Genomic DNA, 18,185 nt, shown 5'->3' with positions numbered 1-18,185 from the left:
CTGCTCTAAGAGTTTCTGATTCAGTAGGTGTGGCTTGCAGCACTAGAATTTGCATTTTTAACAAGTTCCCAGATGCTGCTGCTGCTGCTGCTCTTAGCCTGGAGATCACAATTTGAGGACCACTGGCCTGGACCAGGGTTCAAAAAGATTTTTTATGAAGACCCAGGTAAATATTTTAGGTTTTGTGGGCATATGGTCTCTGTCACAACTACTCAATTCTTCCTTTGTAGTGCAAAATCAGTTGTGCATAATATACAATAAATAAATGATGGCTGTGTTTCAATACAATTGTACTTACAAAAAAGGTGTCAGGCTGAGTTTCATCAACAAACCATAATTGGCCAACCCCTGGCTTAGACCAACTCAGTACAAGAGTCCTGAAAAATCACTTTATGTTAAATGGTAACTCTGTGATAACCATTTGCAAACATATCTACAAATATCCCTTTTAAGTTTTATTTAAATATTTACAGAACTGTACCAGAGACTAAACTGATGGTCTCCTTGAAGCATAGAGAAGAAACCCCGAAGTGTTTCTATAAACCCAACAGAAATACGCAATACTTTTATGCAAGAGTTGGCATCTTATAAATGCCCATGAACTCTATCTTTAGTTTCAAGTTTTAGTTTTAGTTAAATATTGTTTATGGTGTTATAAGCCATAAATCTACCAGGTTAAAGAAGGCCAAAACACTATTGAATGACATATATGTCAGCTCAGTAAGGTTATCTATTAACTTTATAATAAACAAAACAAGAACAATTCATTTGCCATGAGTGTGCCCTGCTTTAATATAGTTGGTCTTTACCCAGAGCAGTATACTTCAAACTAATTTAAAAACGCCAATATAATCTTAAAATTCTACTTAACAGTATACTTCAGTGAACCCACTACATTAGCTTTATCCTTGTAAAATGTAAGTTCCTGTAAAAGGACAAAATTCTGACAAATTTTTATCATAATGAAATGTGATTTCATTCCCTGAAAATAATTATATGCAAATACCATGAGGAAACTTGGTATTATGGATCATTTTATAAACTTAAAATGTGAATATTATGTCAAGAGTCTCCAACAATCTGCTACATGCTACAGATAATAAATAAATATAATCCCTACAGCCAATGGCATATTCTAGTATTTAATAATTTGAGGATGAACTAAAATGACTTTATATTGAGATTCATGGTATCTATCTTTCAGAACATTTTCCTAAATTCAATTAAATCAAATGTTTCCATTTGGCAAACAGGTTTACATTTACCGGCAGATATCTATTATTTTGTCTAATGCAGTGGTTTTAAAAAGTTCTCAGTTAAAAAAAATGTTAAAAGAGCCCTGTGGCTAAATGGAAACTGGAAAGTGTTGACTTTAGATACATTTCAAAAGTTTCTTTACTTCAGGACGTCTCAGAACCATTACCATGCATGGTATAAATATACAAGAAAGATCTGTCAGACTGTACAGCCTTTTCCCATCTCATTTGAACATGGAACTTGATTATCAGTAGAACATCTTGAAGTACCAGAGAAATATTCTTAAGAAAGCAATGTTCTAAGTAAGCACTTACATTCAGGTAACATATGGTAACTTATTTTAAAAGACCAACTCGACTCAACAAATATTCTATTGCTTGACTAACCATTTAAAGGTCACTCATTTCATTTTACTATGCTACTCACCAAAATCTATCTAGAACACAGGTAATCCTATTAAACATACTTACACTCCTCTTCAGGCCTCTTCCGAAGTGCTGCACGAACCTCTTTACAAGGACTTCTCTGGTATTGCGGGGGATTCCTTCCCCTTATTAGGTTCTCCATCCTATAAGAGAGAATCAGAAGAGTATTTTCATACTCTTTTTTTTGGATAAATGTTTACAAGTTAAATGGTCTAAAATTCAAATTCCCACAGAACTTTGCTAGACAACACCATGAAGATGATCCGGCAAGGAGCAAGCTGGCAGGGAGCATCGGGGACCATAGTAAATTGAAGAGTGCTTGACTTTTCCAGCATCCCAATTAAAAAAAATTAAAAACACCATGTGTATGAAACTTATGCACATTCTCTAATTAGAGACTGCCATGGACGGAATATGTCCCCACAGAATTCAAATATTGAAGCACCAGCCCCCAGTGTGATTTGAAGGTAGGGCCTTTGGGACGTAATTAGTTTTAGAGGAGGTTATGAATGGAACGTCCATGATGGGATTAGTGTCTTTATAGGAAGAGAGAGAGAGAAAAAGGGAAAAAGGTAGACTTCTCTCTCTCTCCACCATGTGGGGACACACGGAGGAAGCTGTCTTCAAGCCACAGTGAAGGCCTGCACAAGGAACCAAATTTATCAGCACCTTGACCTTGGACTTCCTAGCCTCCATAACTAAGAGCAATAGTCTGTTGTTTAAGCCACCGAGTCTATGGTATTTTGTTATAGCAGCCCAAGCTGAATAAAATAAAGACCTATCGACTAAAGAGTAATTATTTGCAAAGTAAATAAATTTAAAAAACTAAGGTCATCATTCAGAAAGAAAAAGCATATCTTTCACCAACATTTCAAATATCAGTTTTTCACAATGAGATACCACCTTACCCCAGCCAGAATGATCATTATTAAAAAGTCAAAATACAATAGATGTTGGCATGGATGTGAAAAAGGAACACTTATACACTGCTGTTGGGAATGTAAACTAGTATACTCTCTATGAAAAACAGTATGGAGATTTCTCAAAGAACTAAAAGTAAATCTACCATTTGATCCAGTAATCCCACTACTGATTACCCAAAGGAAAAGAAGACACTATTTCATAAAAACACCTGCACTCATATGTTTATTACACCAGAATTCACAATTGCAAATATATGAAATCAACCTAACTGCCCATCACCCTATAAGTGGATAAAGAAAATGTGGGATATATATGATATGTATGATACATATATGATATATATATGATATATATATAACATATATAATATATGTTATATATTATATATATAGATGTGGGGTATATATATGTAGAATATATACACACGCTCATATATATCTACACACACCATGTATATGTGTTTATATATACCACTCAGCCACAAAAGGATGAAATAATGTTCAGTAACTCGGATGGAAGTGGAGACCATTACTCTAAATGAAGTAACTCAGGAACAAAAACCAAATACCATATGTTCTTACTTTTAAGTGTAAGAACTAAGGTATGAGTATGCAAAAGCACACAGAGTGGTAAAATGGACACTGGAGACTCAGAAGGGAAAGGGTGGGAGAAGGTTAATTAATGAAAAACTACCTATTGAGTACAATGTTCACTATCCAGGTGACATGTGCACTGAAATCCTAGACTTCACCAATATACAATTCATGTGTGTAACCAAAACCCACTTGTACCCCTAAAGCTATTGAAATAAGAAAATTTTTTAAAAAGTACCAGTTTTCAAGAATGGAATTGCTGATTTAATTCCATACTAATGACTGAATCAGAATGTTTTTAAATTCTAATAATTGTGATTTCTTGAAAAAAGTGGTTAATATAAATTGTACCTTTCAGTTACTAGTTACACGGCGATGCTGACAACCAGAAAATAATAAATTAATCAAACACAACTTGGGTGAGCATCTTTAACAGCATATACTTTGTGGTCAGTATTTTCTGTTTTCCATAAAGTTTACAGTTTTGCACATCAATGTACACTTTACTAACTTCTATAACACTAAAAAAATTGAATGCTCAGGATTTGAAAATTTGGAACTAAATCATAGTATTTATCATTTTGAAAATATAAACATGATTTCTTAATATCTATATGATTATCCTCAACCAGGGATATCACTGGTTTTGATAACTGTCCTGGTTGATAGCATGCATACCATTGAAAACAGTGTGATTATTACGGGTATACTGGCAGAGGGTCTCCTAGGATTAGTAGCATAGAGAGAGGATTATGTTCCTTGTGTCTGGAGGGGAAATTGACAAAGGATCATCCCACAAAAGCAGTATGTTAAGTGGTGGAAAATATGAGATAAAAAGGCTTTTTGTGGTGGAATAATAACATAATACTACTCCTATGGGAACTTATCATTGGGGCTTAAAAAAAGTCTTCCAAATATACTTTCTGAAATCAGTCTATTCATATGTAGAGGCTGCTTTATGTGCTTGTGTGTGTGTGTGTGTGTGTGTGTGTGTGTGTGCATGCACTCATATGCCTATCCCTATGTTTGTAAAGTATAAGAAATTGTTTTTTAATGTGCAGTGATAACTTGAATCTTAGTTTCACTCAAAATTCATGTCAAGTGAGAAAAAGTTATTTCTCTCAAGATAATGATAATACAGCGACAGGAAACCAAGTGGAAACTTGAAGAATTGAAGACATAAATTGCTTCAACATTATATGTGTGCGTGTGGGGGGCGGGGTGAAGATTAAGCTTCTAGGTCTGTCCCTGCAGTTTCATCATGAAGATTAGCTATGCGAACTAAATTATATCAAATTTTCTAGTTTCTGACTCTTGAATTAATTCATCGCACAATTTTGATTATGTGTTTCGGCAAATGCAGAAATCTCCATGATGATCTAATAACAATTTAAGTGAGCTTATAATTATTCACTAGTATTTACAAGCTTAAGATAGTAAATTATAGCAAACAGAACCTGCACATGCAAATGTCTACATAAAATTGTAGTGTAATTTTTAAAAACACTTTTACTCATTGTGATTACACTCTGATGGGGAATGACAAGTTATGTTGGTTGGGGAATACATGAAAACTACTCTCTTGAATAGGCTATTATTTTTCCTTTTTATCTCTATCAAATATGTGAAAACAAAAGTGGTCTCCTTGATTTCCATGTAATTATGGTTCAGGGTATGTCAGAAAAACTCAAAAACAGATTAGAAAGTACTTTCAAAGGCTATGGGAGGATTTAAACGATTACTATTGGTATCCAAGACCCTCAGGTTAGCCTCCCAGGAATCATGGTGTTCAGAGGTTGTATTTTGGGAATACTCATGAGCAGATATGCAAGAGATTATACAATGCTGGCAATGTAGCATGGCTTAAATGTAATGTTCCTCAGCTCTGGAATCAGAATGCCTGGGCTTAACCTCTCTTTTTGTTTCTTAAAGGATGATTTTAGGTAAAGTTACTCACATACTTTGTGCCTTACTTAATGTGCTTACATACACAACAGGATTGTTGTGAGGATTAAATATGGTAACACATGTAAAATGCTTTGCGTTGTGTCTGTCACAATGGAGAGCTCGGTAAATGAAGCTATTATTAATAATGATTATCACAAATAAAAATGTGATCATATACTAATATTTTAAATGTTCCATATATTTGGAAACATATTACAATTGGTCTTTAATAAAGAAAATGAAAACAGATAGTACTGTTGAGGAAAAAAAATTAGCTTAGAAATTTTCTGATTATTAGGGAAACACAAAATATCCAGGTATATAAGTGGCCAATTTTTATAGATGAAGAACTTAATTAAATATACTTCATTTTTTATCAATAAGATTTAAGGGATTACTAATGACAATTTTCCGAGGACACTAACAGGGATAAAAGTGGGTTGTCGTCATCATGAATTAACTAAAGTTCTAGAAAATTCCAGGTTTTGTAGAGAATTTAGAAAATATTTCAAAATTTTATAGTTACCTTGGACCTTAGAAACAATTAAAATATTTTGTAATATATTTACCATTTACTTTATCACTTCATGAAGTAAATTACTTCATTTACTTTACCATTTACCATTTACTTCATTAATCCTTTGAACAACTTTATGAAAGAATATTTTAAAGATGAAGAAATTAAGCCCAGATATGCTCAGTGACTTGCTCATGGCCTCATCAGAAGTAGAAGAAGGCTCAACTAAGATTTAACCAATCTTTTCTGGACTTTTCTAGTTGCTTCTTAGTCCATTATTTCCATGAGTTCATGATTATAATTCCACTAGGGGAGTGAATACCTGAGATTCAAATATATAATGTATTTTTAATTCTGGTAAAATTATCATTAACATAATATTAACACTTATATTTTAATATCTATACTCAGGAGGCTGAGGTGAGAGAATCACTTGAGGACGCAAAGGTGGAGGCTGCAGTGAGCTGTGATCATGCCACTACACTCCAGCCTGGGCAATAGAGCGAGGCCCTGCCTCCATATTTATGTGTTATAGATGTAAAATATATATAAATATGATATTTATATTCAAATATATGTTTTTAGTGTTAATATGTTGATTACATGTTGATTTCTTATCATTTTGCTATTGTCACTGAAATTTTTGCTTCCATCAGTGACATTTTAAGTTTTTGAGAACTGCCAAAAAGATAACTGGGGCCAAAACAATTCACTATAAATTACATGAACGATACACAAATAGGTGAAAATATAAAAAAAATACTAAAAGTCGTTTTGTTCCTTGGAATGCTATATGTGATGCCCACTGGAAACATACTTAAAATGAAGTTAATAATTTTGCAGAGCAATGTTTGTGTCTAAATTATTATATAACTGAAACTTGCATCTTCTCAAGATTACACTTCTGGTTACTTGAACTCTTTCACCACCATTATCTATGATCTACAGTTTGCATTAAATAGTCAGACAAAATGACCAAAAATGAAATCTTGGAGCACAGCCAGGTCACTGCAAAGGAGCTGTTCTAGCTACTCTCAAGCTTGGCAAGCCACCAGTGGGAGTGTGTTAACAATTCTAGCAAAGAGAGATTAAATGTAATGACCACAGGTGAGACAGATGCTCTAACAACTCATTGAAGAGCTCTGAAAAAGTGCAGCCTACGTGTTCAACTGCTAGGAGGAAATAAGGGCAGCCAGGTTAATATCAAATAGCATGAAATAGCAATTAACAGTTATAAGCAAAAAGTGTCCATGACATTCTTGATGGTGTCTCCCAAATTTGGCTAGAGTCTCAAAATCACCCAAGGAGTGATTTTCCCAGTACTAAAGATTATCATGCAGTAGGTTGAGGTCAAGTCCTAGTTGATGTTTTCTTTTTTAGATTAATCAGGTGCTTCTAAAGTAGCCAGCCAGCTGTGTACACTTGTTTAGATCCTGGCATTTGGGAACCTCTGTAAATAAAAAATATATACTTGGAATTGTAGGGAAGACAAGTCCATTGAATTCATTCAGGTGATAAAGTTGTCTATTAACACAGATATGTAGGGCCTGAGGAAGAGACTGCAGTTAGAATAGAAATTATCAAAAATGAAAAGAGTAGCCAGAAAAGCACAATCAAAGGCTTGCCAAGTTGCCTGGAGGTCACTCACAGGAACCGACAGGCTGCTCATTAACATTATCAACTCACTGTTGATAATCTCAATAGTGAAATGATATCCCTTAACAAGGTTTGGCTGACTCAGTTGGATCAGGGAATATGTTTGGACTAATCTAGAATCATGGACTGAGATGGCAGTGTGGCTAGTGAATGAAGGATGTGAAGTCTGCATGAAAATCTAGTTGAAATAGATTTACACTTGATGGAGGAGGACATAGGAGAATGATTGGCTCACTGGAGGAAAAGGGAGTTGGGATAATAGAATAAAGGTTTCAAATATAAATATTCTCAAATGCCTATTATATGCCAGGTGCTTTGTTAGGTTCTTTATATGTACATTATCCATGTCATCTGTATTTTATCCATGGTTAACCTAAGTCTAAGAAATATAAGTGACTTGCTTAGGATCACACATAGAATAAGTGCAAAAATCAAGATTTAAATCCAGATCTGTCTGACCTCAGATCAGTTAACTATGAAGTGGGTTGTGCAATAGAACTTTCTGCAATGATGGAAATGTTCAATATCTGTGCTGTCCAATAAAGTGGCTGCTAGCCACATACAGCTATTGAGCACTTCAAATGTGGCTAGTATGACTGAGGAACTGAACTTTACTTAATACAATTTTTTTAAAAAAATGTATTAAGTAGAAGGGCAGAGGAAGATGGCCAAATAGGCTCCACCGATCATCACCACCCCACCCTGATAGGACGCCAATTTAACAACTATCTACACACACAACAAAAAGTGCCTTCATCTAATGTAAATGACAAGTTAATGGGTGCAGCACACCAACATGGCACATGTATACATATGTAACAAACCTGCATGTTGTGCACATGTGCCCTAGAACTTAAAGTATAATAAAAAAAATTTTTTTAAAGTGCCTTCATAAGAACCAAAAACCAGGTGAACACTCACAGTGCTTGGTTTTAACTTCATGTCACTGAAAGAGGCATTGAAGAGGGCAGGAAAGAGTCCTGAATTGCAAACATTACTCTGCCCCATCCCCCAGCAGCGGCCACATGGCATGGAGAATCTTAGCACTTGAGACAGGATGAATGCAGCCGTTGCATGACACATCGCATTGAACTCAATGCTGCCCCTGTCATAGCAGAAAGCATAACTAGGCTGAACTCAGCTGATGCCCGACCACAGAGGGAGTTTTTAAACGAGCCCTAGCCACAGGAGTATTGCCCATCCCAGCAGCAGGAAATTGAGCTCCAGGAAGCCTCACTACCATGGGCTAAAATGCTCTGAGGCCATAAGTAAACTTGAAAGGCAGTCTAGGACACTGGAACTGCAACTCTAAGGTAAGTCCTAGGACTGAACTGGGCTCAGCGCCAGTGGACTTGGGAGCATATGTGACCTACTGAGATACCAACTGGTTGGCTAAGGGAATGTGTCTGCCACTTCTCCTCTAACCCCAGGCTGCACAGCTCATGGTTCCAAAAGAGACTCACTCCTTCCTCCTGCTTGAGGAGAGGAAAGAAAAGAGTAAGAAAACTTTGTCTTGGATCGTTGATACCAGCTTAGCCACAGTAGGATAGAGCACCAGTCAAAGTCATGAGGCACCCTTTCCAGGCCCTACTTCCTACATGATACTACTAGACACACCCTAGGCAAGAAGGGAACATGCTGCCTTGAGGGGAAGGATCCACCACCTGCTGACTAAAGTGCCCCTGGGCCCTGAATAACCAATAGTGATACCCAGATACTATGCTGTGGCCTCAGGTGAGACTCAGACTTGCTGGCTTCACGTGAGACTCAGCACATTCCCAGTTGTGGTGGCTATGGGAAGAGACTCCTCTTGCTTGAGAAAAGTGAAGGGAAAAGTAAAGGGGACATTGTCTTGCACCTTAGGTACCAGCTTTGCCACAGAGGAAAAGAGCACAAAGCAGGCTCCTGGGGTCCCCAGTTCCAGGCCTCGACTCCTGCATGACATTTCTTGACCTATCCTGGGCCAAAAGGAAGCCCGCTGCCCCGAATAGTGAGTCCCATGCCAGGCAGCATTCACCACAAACTGAATAAAGAGCCCTTGAGCCTTAAGGGAATATTGATGGTAGCCTATCACTAATCCCCATGGGTCTGTGGAGATGGTGGCCATGGGCTAAGACTCTTCTCCCAATGGAAAGAGGAGGGAAGAGTGGAAAGGACTGTGTCTCATGGTTTGACTGCCAGCTCACCTACAGTAAATTAAAATACTAGGTATACTCCTAAGGTTTTTGATTCTAGTCCCTGGCTCCCAGATGGGACCTCTGGACCTCCCTGGGGCCAGGGGGAACTTGCCACCATGAAGGGAGAGACACAAGCCTGACTGACTTCACTACCTGCTGATTTTAGAACTTCAGGGCCTTGACTGAACATAGGTGGTAGCCAGAGAGTGGTTACAGTGAGGCCCAGTGCTGTGCTGGCTTTAGGTCTGATCCAGTGCAGTCCCAGGATGGTATCATCCCACCCACAGCTCCAAGTAGCTCAGAAAAGAGAAAGAGACTCTCTTTGGGAGAAAGTAAGGGAAACGATCTGAATCTTATGCAAGACAACTAAGGTAGTACCTCTATGTTTGCAAGAACCACAGCATTAATGAACTTCGGGTTCTCCCTAATGCAGATACGGCTTAAATTACAACACCCATGTCCTTTTGAATACCTTGAAAGCCTTCCCAGGAAGGATGGGCACAAACAAGCCCAGACTTTGACAGCTACAATAAATATCTAACTCTTCAATGGCCAGACACAGATGAATATCTATAAGCATCAAGACCATCCTGGAAAACATGACCTCATGAAATGAACTAAAAAAGGCACTAGAGACCAACTTTGGAGACACAGAGATATGTGACCTTTAGACAGATAATTCAAAATAGTTGTTTTGAGGAAACTCAAAGAAATTCAAGGTAACACAGTGAAGGAATTCAGAATTTTATCAGACAAATTTAACTAAGAGATGGAAATAATTAAAAAGAATCAAGCAGAAATTCTGGAATTGAAAAATCCAATTGGCATACTGAAGAATGCATCAATGCATCAGAGTCTTTTCATAGCAGAGTTGATCAAGCAGAAAAAACAATTAGTCAGCATGAAAACAGCCTTTTGAACATATGCAGTCAGAGAAGACAAAAGAAAGAAGAATAAAAAAAAATACAGCATGACTACAAGATCTAGAAAATAGCCTCAAACGGGCAAATCTAAAACTTACTGGCCTTAAAGAGGTGGTAGAGGTAGGGGTAGAAATTTTATTTTAAAGGATAATAACAGATAACTCCTCACCTAAGAAAGATATCAATATCCAAGTATGAGAAGGTTAGAAAACATAAAGCAGATTCAATCCAAATAAGACTACCTCAGTTCATTTAATAATCAAACTCCCAAAGGTCAAGGATAAAGAAAAGGTCCTAAAAGCATCAAGTGCAAAAAAACAAGTAACACACAATGGAGCTTCAATACATCTTGCAGCAGACTTTTCAGTAGAGAGTTTATAGGCCATGAGAGAATGGCATGACATATCTAAAGTGCTGAAGGAAAAATATTTTACCTTAGAATACTATATTCAGTGAAAACATCCTTTGAACATGCAGATAAAGACTTTCCCAGACAAACAAAGGCTGAAGGATTTCATCAACACCAGATCTGTTCTGCCAGAAATGCTAAAGGAAGTACTTCAATCAGAAAGAAAAAGACATTAATGAGCAATAAGACACCATCTAAAAGTACAAAACTCACTGGTAATAGTAAGGACACAGAAAAACACAGAGTATTATAACACTGTAACTGCGGTGTATAAACTATTCTTATCTTAAGTAGAGAGACTAAAGGATGGACCAATGAAAAAAACCATAAGAATTTTTCAAGACATAGACAGTATGATAAGATATAAATAAAAATTACAACAAACAACCCTATCAAAAAGTGGGTGAAGGATATGAACAGACACTTCTCAAAAGAAGACATTTATGTGGCCAAAAAACATATGAAAAAAAGCTCATCATCACTTGTCATCAGAGAAATGCAAATCAAAACTCCAATGAGATACCATCTCATGCCAATTAGAATGGTGATCATTAAAATGTCAGGAAGCAACAGATGCTGGAGAGGATGTGGAGAAATAGGAATGCTTTTACACTGTTGGTGGGCATGTAAATTATTTCAACCATTGTGGAAGACAGTGTGGTAATTCCTCAAGGATCTAGAGCCAGAAATACCATTTGACCCAGCAATCCCATTACTGGGTTTATACCCAAAAGATAATAAATCATTCTACTATAAAGACAAATGCACACATATGTTTATTGCAGCACTATTCACAATAGCGAAGACTTGGAACCAACCCAAATGCCAATCAATGATAGACTGAATAAAGAAAATGTGGCACATATACGCCATGGAATACTATGCCTCCATAAAAAGGGATGAGTTCATGTTCTTTGCAGGGACATGGATGAAACTGGAAACCATCATTCTCAGCAAACTAACACAGGAACAGAAAACCAAACACCACATGTTCTCACTTATAAGTGGGAGTTGAACAATGAGAACACATGGACACAGGGAGGGGAACATCACACACTGCGGCCTGTCGGGGGATGGGGGGCTAGGGGAGGGATAGCATTAGGAGAAATACCTAATGTAGATGATGGGTTGATGGGTGCAGCAAACCACCGTGGCACATATATACCTATGTAACAAAACTACACATTCTGCACATGTATCCCAGAACTTAAAGTATAATAAAAAGAGAAAAGAAACACAAAATGTTAAAAAGTGGGAAGGCAAAGTTAAGGTGCTGAGTTTTTATTAGTTTTCTTTGTGCTCATTTGTTTTTGCAAATAGTGTTGTTGTTATCAGCTTAAAATAATGGGTTATAAGATAGTATTTGCAGGCCTCATGGTGACCTCAAATAAAAAAAAACATACAATGGGTACACAAAAAATAAAAAGCAATGAATTAAATAATATCACCAGAGAAAATTACCTTCACTAAAAGGAAGACGAGAAGGAAGAAAGGAATGAGGAGAAGATGACAAAACAACCAGAAAACAAATGATAAAAAGGCAGGAGTAAGTCCTTACTCATCAATAATAACATTGAATATAAATAGACTAAACTCTTCAATCAAAAGTTGTGGAGTGACTGAACAGATTAAAAACCAAGACCCAATGATCTGTTGCTTTCAAGAAACACACTTTGCCTATAAAGGCATACATAACTGAAAATAAAGGGACAGAAAAAAGATATTCCATGCCAATGGAAACCAAAACGGAGCAGGAGTACCTATACTTAAATCAGACAAAATATATTTCAGGATGAATAGTATAAGAATAGACAAAAGTCACTATATAATGATAAAGGGATGAATTCAGCAAGAGAATATAACAATTTTAAATAAATACGCATCCAGTACAGGAGCACATAGGTATACAAAACACATACTATTAGTGCTAAAGAGAGAGATAGAACCCAACACAATAAAAGCTGGAGACTTCAACACCCCACTGTCAGCATTAGACAGATCTTCCAGACAGAAAATCAACAAGGAAACATCAGACTTAATCTGCAGTGCAGAGCAAATTGACCTAATAGATATTTACAGAACATTTCATCCAAGAGCTACAAAATACATATTCTTTTCCTCAGCACATGGATCATTCTCAAGGATAGACCATATGTTAAATCACAAAACAAGTCTTAAAACATTCAAAAAATGTGAAATAATATTAAGCACCTTCTCTGACCACAAGGGAATAAAACTAGAAATCAATAAAAAGGGGAATTTTGGAAAATACACAAACACATGAAAATTAAATGATATGCTCCTGAATAACCAGTGGGACAATGAAGAAGTTAAGGAGGAAAATGAAAAAATGTCTTCAAACAAATTATAATGGAAATACATACCAAAACCTATGGGATAAAGCAAAAGCAGTACCAAGAAGGAAGTTTATAGCTATTAGTGCCTACATCACAAAAGAAAAACTTCAAATAAACAACCTAATGATGCATCTTGAAGAACTAGAAAAGCAAGAGCAAACCAAACTCAAAATTAGTAGAAGAAAAGACATAATAAAAATCAGACTAAAATTAATGAATTTGAAATTAAGAAAACAATATGAAATATCAATGAAAAAAATAATTTTTTTTTGAAAAAGCAAACAAAATTGACAAGCCTTTAGCCAGAGTAAAAAGGGGGAGAAGACTCAAATAAATAAAATCAGAGATAAAAAAGGAGATATTACAACTGATACTACAGAAATTCAAAAGATCTTTAGTGGTTACTATGAGCAAGTATATGATGATAAATTGAAAAATCTAGAAGAAATTGATAAATTCCTACACACATAAAACCTTCCAAGATCGAACCATGAAGAAATCCAAAATCTAAACAGAACAATAACTAGTAATTAGATTGAAGCCATAATAATAAGTCTCCCAGCAAAGAAAAGCCTAGGACCGAATGGTATCGCTGATGAATTCTACCAAACACTTAAAGAAATAATACCAATTCTACTCAAACTATTCTGAAAAATAGAGGAGGAAGGAATACTTTCAGACTCATTCACAAGGCCAGTATTATCTTGATACCAAACCCAAAGATACATCAATAGAGAAAACTATCAGCCAGTATCACTGATGAATATTCATGCAAACATTTGCAACAAAATACTAGCGAACCAAATTCAACTATACATTAAAAAGATCAGTTATCATGAACAAGTGGGATTTATCCCAGGGATGTACAGATGGTTCAACATATGCAAATAAATTAATGTAATACATTCTATCAATGCAATAAAGGACAAAAACCATATGATCATTTCAATTGATGCTAAAGAAGCATTTGATAACATTCGACATCCCTTCATGATTAAAAACCTTCAAAAACCTGAGGATAGAAGAAACATACCTCAACATAACAAAAGCCACCTATGACAGATCCACAGCTAGTATCATACTTAATGGGGAAAACCTGAAAGCCTTTTTCTAAGATCAGGAACACAACAAAGATGTCCACTTTCCCCACTGTTTTTCAACATAGTTCTGGAATTTCTAGATAGGGCAATGAGCTAAGAGAAAGAAATAAAGGGCATACAAATTAGAAAGGAAGAAGTCAAATTATCCTTGTTTCCAGATGACATGATCTTATATTTGGAAAAATCTAACGTCTCCACCAAGAAAACTATTAGAACTTATAAACAAATTCAGTAAAGTTGTAGGATACAAAATCAACATACAAAATCAGTAGTATCCTCTATATGCCAACAGAGAACAATCTGAGACAGAATTAAATAAAGTAATCCCATTCACAATGGCTACAAATAAAATAAAATACCTAGAAATTAAATTAACTCAAGAAGTGAAAGATCTCTACAATGAAAACTATAAAACATTAATACAAAGATTTGAATAGGACACACAAAAATGAAAGATATTCCATGTTCATGAATTGGAAGAATCAACAATGAACAAAGAATCAATCAATGTAAAAATGTCCATACTACTCAAAGCAATCTACAAATTTAAGGCAATCCTTATCAAAATACTAATGACATTCTTCACAGAAATAGAAAAAACAATTTTAAAATTTATATGAAACCACAAGAGACTCAGAATAGCGAAAGCCATCCTGAGCAAAAGAAGGAAACTGAAGGAATCACATTACCTGCCTTTAAATTACACTACAGAGCTATAGTAAACAAAATGGCATTTCACTGGCATAAAAACAGACATATAGATCAGTGTAACAGAATGGAGAACCCAGAGATAAATCCATATATCTACAGTGAACTCATTTTTGATGAAGGTGCCATGAACACACATTGGGGAAAGGACAGTTTCTTCAATTAATGGTTGTAGAAAAACTGGATATCCACTGGCAAAAAAAATGAAATTCGACACCTATCTCTCACCATATACAAAGATCAAATCAAAATGGATTAAAGACTTAAATCTAAGACCTTGGACTATGAAACTGCTAAAAGTAAACATTGAAGAAATTCTCCAGGACATTGATCAGGGCAAAAATTTTTTGAAGAGTACCCCAAAAGCACAGGCAACCAAGCCCAAACAGACAAATAGGATCACATCAAGTTAAAAAGTTTCTGCACAGCAAAGGATACAATCAACAAAGTGAAACAACAACCCACAGAATTGGAGAAGATATGTGCAAACTACCCATCTGACAAGGGATTAATAACCAGATTATATAATGAACTCAAGCAATATGATAGGAAAATCTAATAATCCGATTAAAAATGGACAAAATATCTGAATAGACATTTCTCAAAAGAAGAGATACAAAAGGCAAATAATTATATGAAATGTGGTCAACATCACTGAAAATCGGAGAAATGCAAATCAAAACTGCAATGAGATATCATCTGACCCCAGCTAAAATGGCTTTTACCCAAAAGTCAGGAAATAACAAATGCTGGCGAGATGTGGAGAAATGGGAGTCCTCGTACACAGCTGATAGGAATGTAAATTAGTACAACCACTATGGAGAACAGTTTGGAAGTTCCTGAAAAAACTAAAAATAAAACAGCTACTTTATTATCCAGCATTAACACTACTGGGTGTATATATCCAAAAGAAAGGAAATCAGTCTATCAAAAAGATATCTGTAGCCCATGTTTATTGAAGACCTATTCACAACAGCCAAGATTTGCAAACAACCTAAGTGTTCATCAACAGATAAATGCCTAAAGTAAATGTGGTACATATACACAATGAAATACTAGTCAGCCATGAAAAAGGTTGAGATCCTGTCATTTACAACAACATGGAGGGAACTGGTAGTCATTATGTTAAGTGAAATAAGTCAGGCACAGAAAGACAAACTTTACATGCTCACACTTATAAAAATTAAAACGAGGCCGGGCGCGGTGGCTCACGCCTGTAATTCCAGCACTTTGGGAGGCCGAGGCGGGTGGATCATGAGGTCAGGAGATCGAGACCATCCTGGCTAACAAGGTGAAACCCCGTCTCTACTAAAAATACAAAAAATTAGCCGGGCGCGGTGGCGGGCGCCTGTAGTCCCAGCTACTCGGGAGGCTGAGGCAGGAGAATGGCGTGAACCCGGGAAGCGGAGCTTGCAGTGAGCTGAGATTGCGCCACTGCAGTCGGCAGTCCGGCCTGGGCGACAGAGCGAGACTCCGTCTCAAAAAAAAAAAAAAAAAAAAAAAAAAAAAAAATTAAAACGATTGAACTAATGGAGACAGAGAGTAGGACGATGGTTACCAGAGACTGGGCTGGGTAGTGAGGGTGTAGGGGAAGAGGTAGGGAGGGCTAATGGGTATCAAAAATTAGAAAGAATAAATAAGACCTAGTATTAAATATTTGCTAGTACAATAGAGTGACTATAGTTGAAATAATTTAATTGTGCAATTAAAAAATAACTAAAAGCATAATTGGATTGCTCATAACACAAAGGATAAATGCTTGAGGTGATGAATACTCTATTTATCCTAATATCATTTGTATGCATTGCATGCCGGTATCAAAATATCTCATGTAACCCATAAATATATACATCTACTATGTGTCCTTAAAAATTAAAATTAAAAAATGTATTGAATTTTAACTTATTGAATCCAAATAACCATGTGAAAACTGTATTACATACTACAGCACATCTGAAAGCCTCTACTTGGCATGACTGTTGAACATACATATGACTCACATTTCTGTAGGTCTCAAAATTCAACAGAAATAATTCATGGTAAGAAAAAATAAATAAAAAAAGGAATTAAAAATGAAAGTAGGACTAACCATTCTTATGGAAAAAGAAGAAATAAGATTTCTATCTTATTGTTGGAAATAATAATAAATAGTCTTCTCTGTCCTGCCCAGGGAAAAAAAAGAACAGGGCAACACTCTGACCATCCAACCTCATGAAACCCTAAAACCAAGAAACCTCTTCAGAATTCTAGATTTCCTTATTTGGCTCTGAATTCAAGAGAAATGAGAAAATTGTTGAAGAAGCAGTGACACATGCCTTGCCTTATCAGTGAGGTACTAAGTTTTTTTCCAAGGAAAGTAGAGTTTGAAGCACAGTGAACCAAACCCCAGACCAGGACTATGCTGAAAGCATGCATATCAAGGTTTCAATAGCCATTGATAAATAGTCTCAAGTGTTTATAAAGATCCAATTTGAACTGCAAATGACAGTGCAAAAATAATCGATACCCAATTATCTCAGCCAACTATGTTGAGTTGATAGTTAATAAGGACAATCTAAAGTTTAATGGCAAGATTAGTGTGAAAAGAAACCACATGTTAACCACACCTAAACTGCTTAAAAGAGAGTGAAATGCTTAACAAAACAAAAAGATTTGTGAAGTGCTGTCCAGTTGGAAACTAAACAAAATTCCTCATTTGTAAGGGCAGCAATGATTTACCAAAAGAACAAAGACCAGCAATGTTTCAGCAACAAGAAACTTGTTTGTGCATTGCCATGTCACGCATTTAGGAAAATAGCAAACACAATAGTACATTATTCTCACTTTATTTATAAAGAAATAGAATTCAGAATAGATTGGTATCATTATGAATGTCTTGAAAAATCTAGATTTTACCTTTTGTAAACAACACTGACCACAGCAAACATTAAATATTTATTTTTAAATGATTGAATGAATGGTTTTAGCAATAAATGTATGCCCTACACAGTACTAATGAGCTTATGGTTATAGAGCATCTTTACATATATTATTTATCCTCATAAAGATGAGGATAAGACCTGTGGGTTTAGTCTTTTAGAGACGAAGAAATTAAGACCCACTTGTCCAATGTCACTGCAAAGCCAGATTCAAGCTCACGTTTTCTGATTCCTACAATCTTCCCACCTGAGCAAAGTTGCCTAAATGAAAAAA

At 35.9% G+C, this 18,185-nt stretch overlaps 1 protein-coding gene across 10 annotated transcripts in view; it reads right to left on the bottom strand.

Annotated features, from left to right (window-relative positions):
- LRRC7 (leucine rich repeat containing 7) overlaps positions 1 to 18,185 on the bottom strand; it is a 576,443-nt gene that overhangs the window by 464,159 nt on the left and 94,099 nt on the right. For all 10 annotated transcript variants that reach the window (NM_001330635.3, NM_001366839.3, NM_001370785.2 and 7 more), the window contains exon 2: positions 1,728 to 1,825. Coding sequence is in view for 6 of the 10 variants with exons in the window: in NM_001370785.2 (NP_001357714.1) it covers positions 1,728 to 1,825 (98 nt within the window). In the remaining 4 variants the exon portion in view is untranslated. The remainder of the gene's footprint in view (positions 1 to 1,727; positions 1,826 to 18,185) is intronic.

Source organism: Homo sapiens, chromosome 1 (assembly GCF_000001405.40).
Source record: "Homo sapiens chromosome 1, GRCh38.p14 Primary Assembly".
NCBI classification, from domain to species: domain Eukaryota; kingdom Metazoa; phylum Chordata; class Mammalia; order Primates; family Hominidae; genus Homo; species Homo sapiens.
Note: the sequence above shows the minus strand (reverse complement) of the source record. Positions and strands in the feature narration are given on the sequence as shown.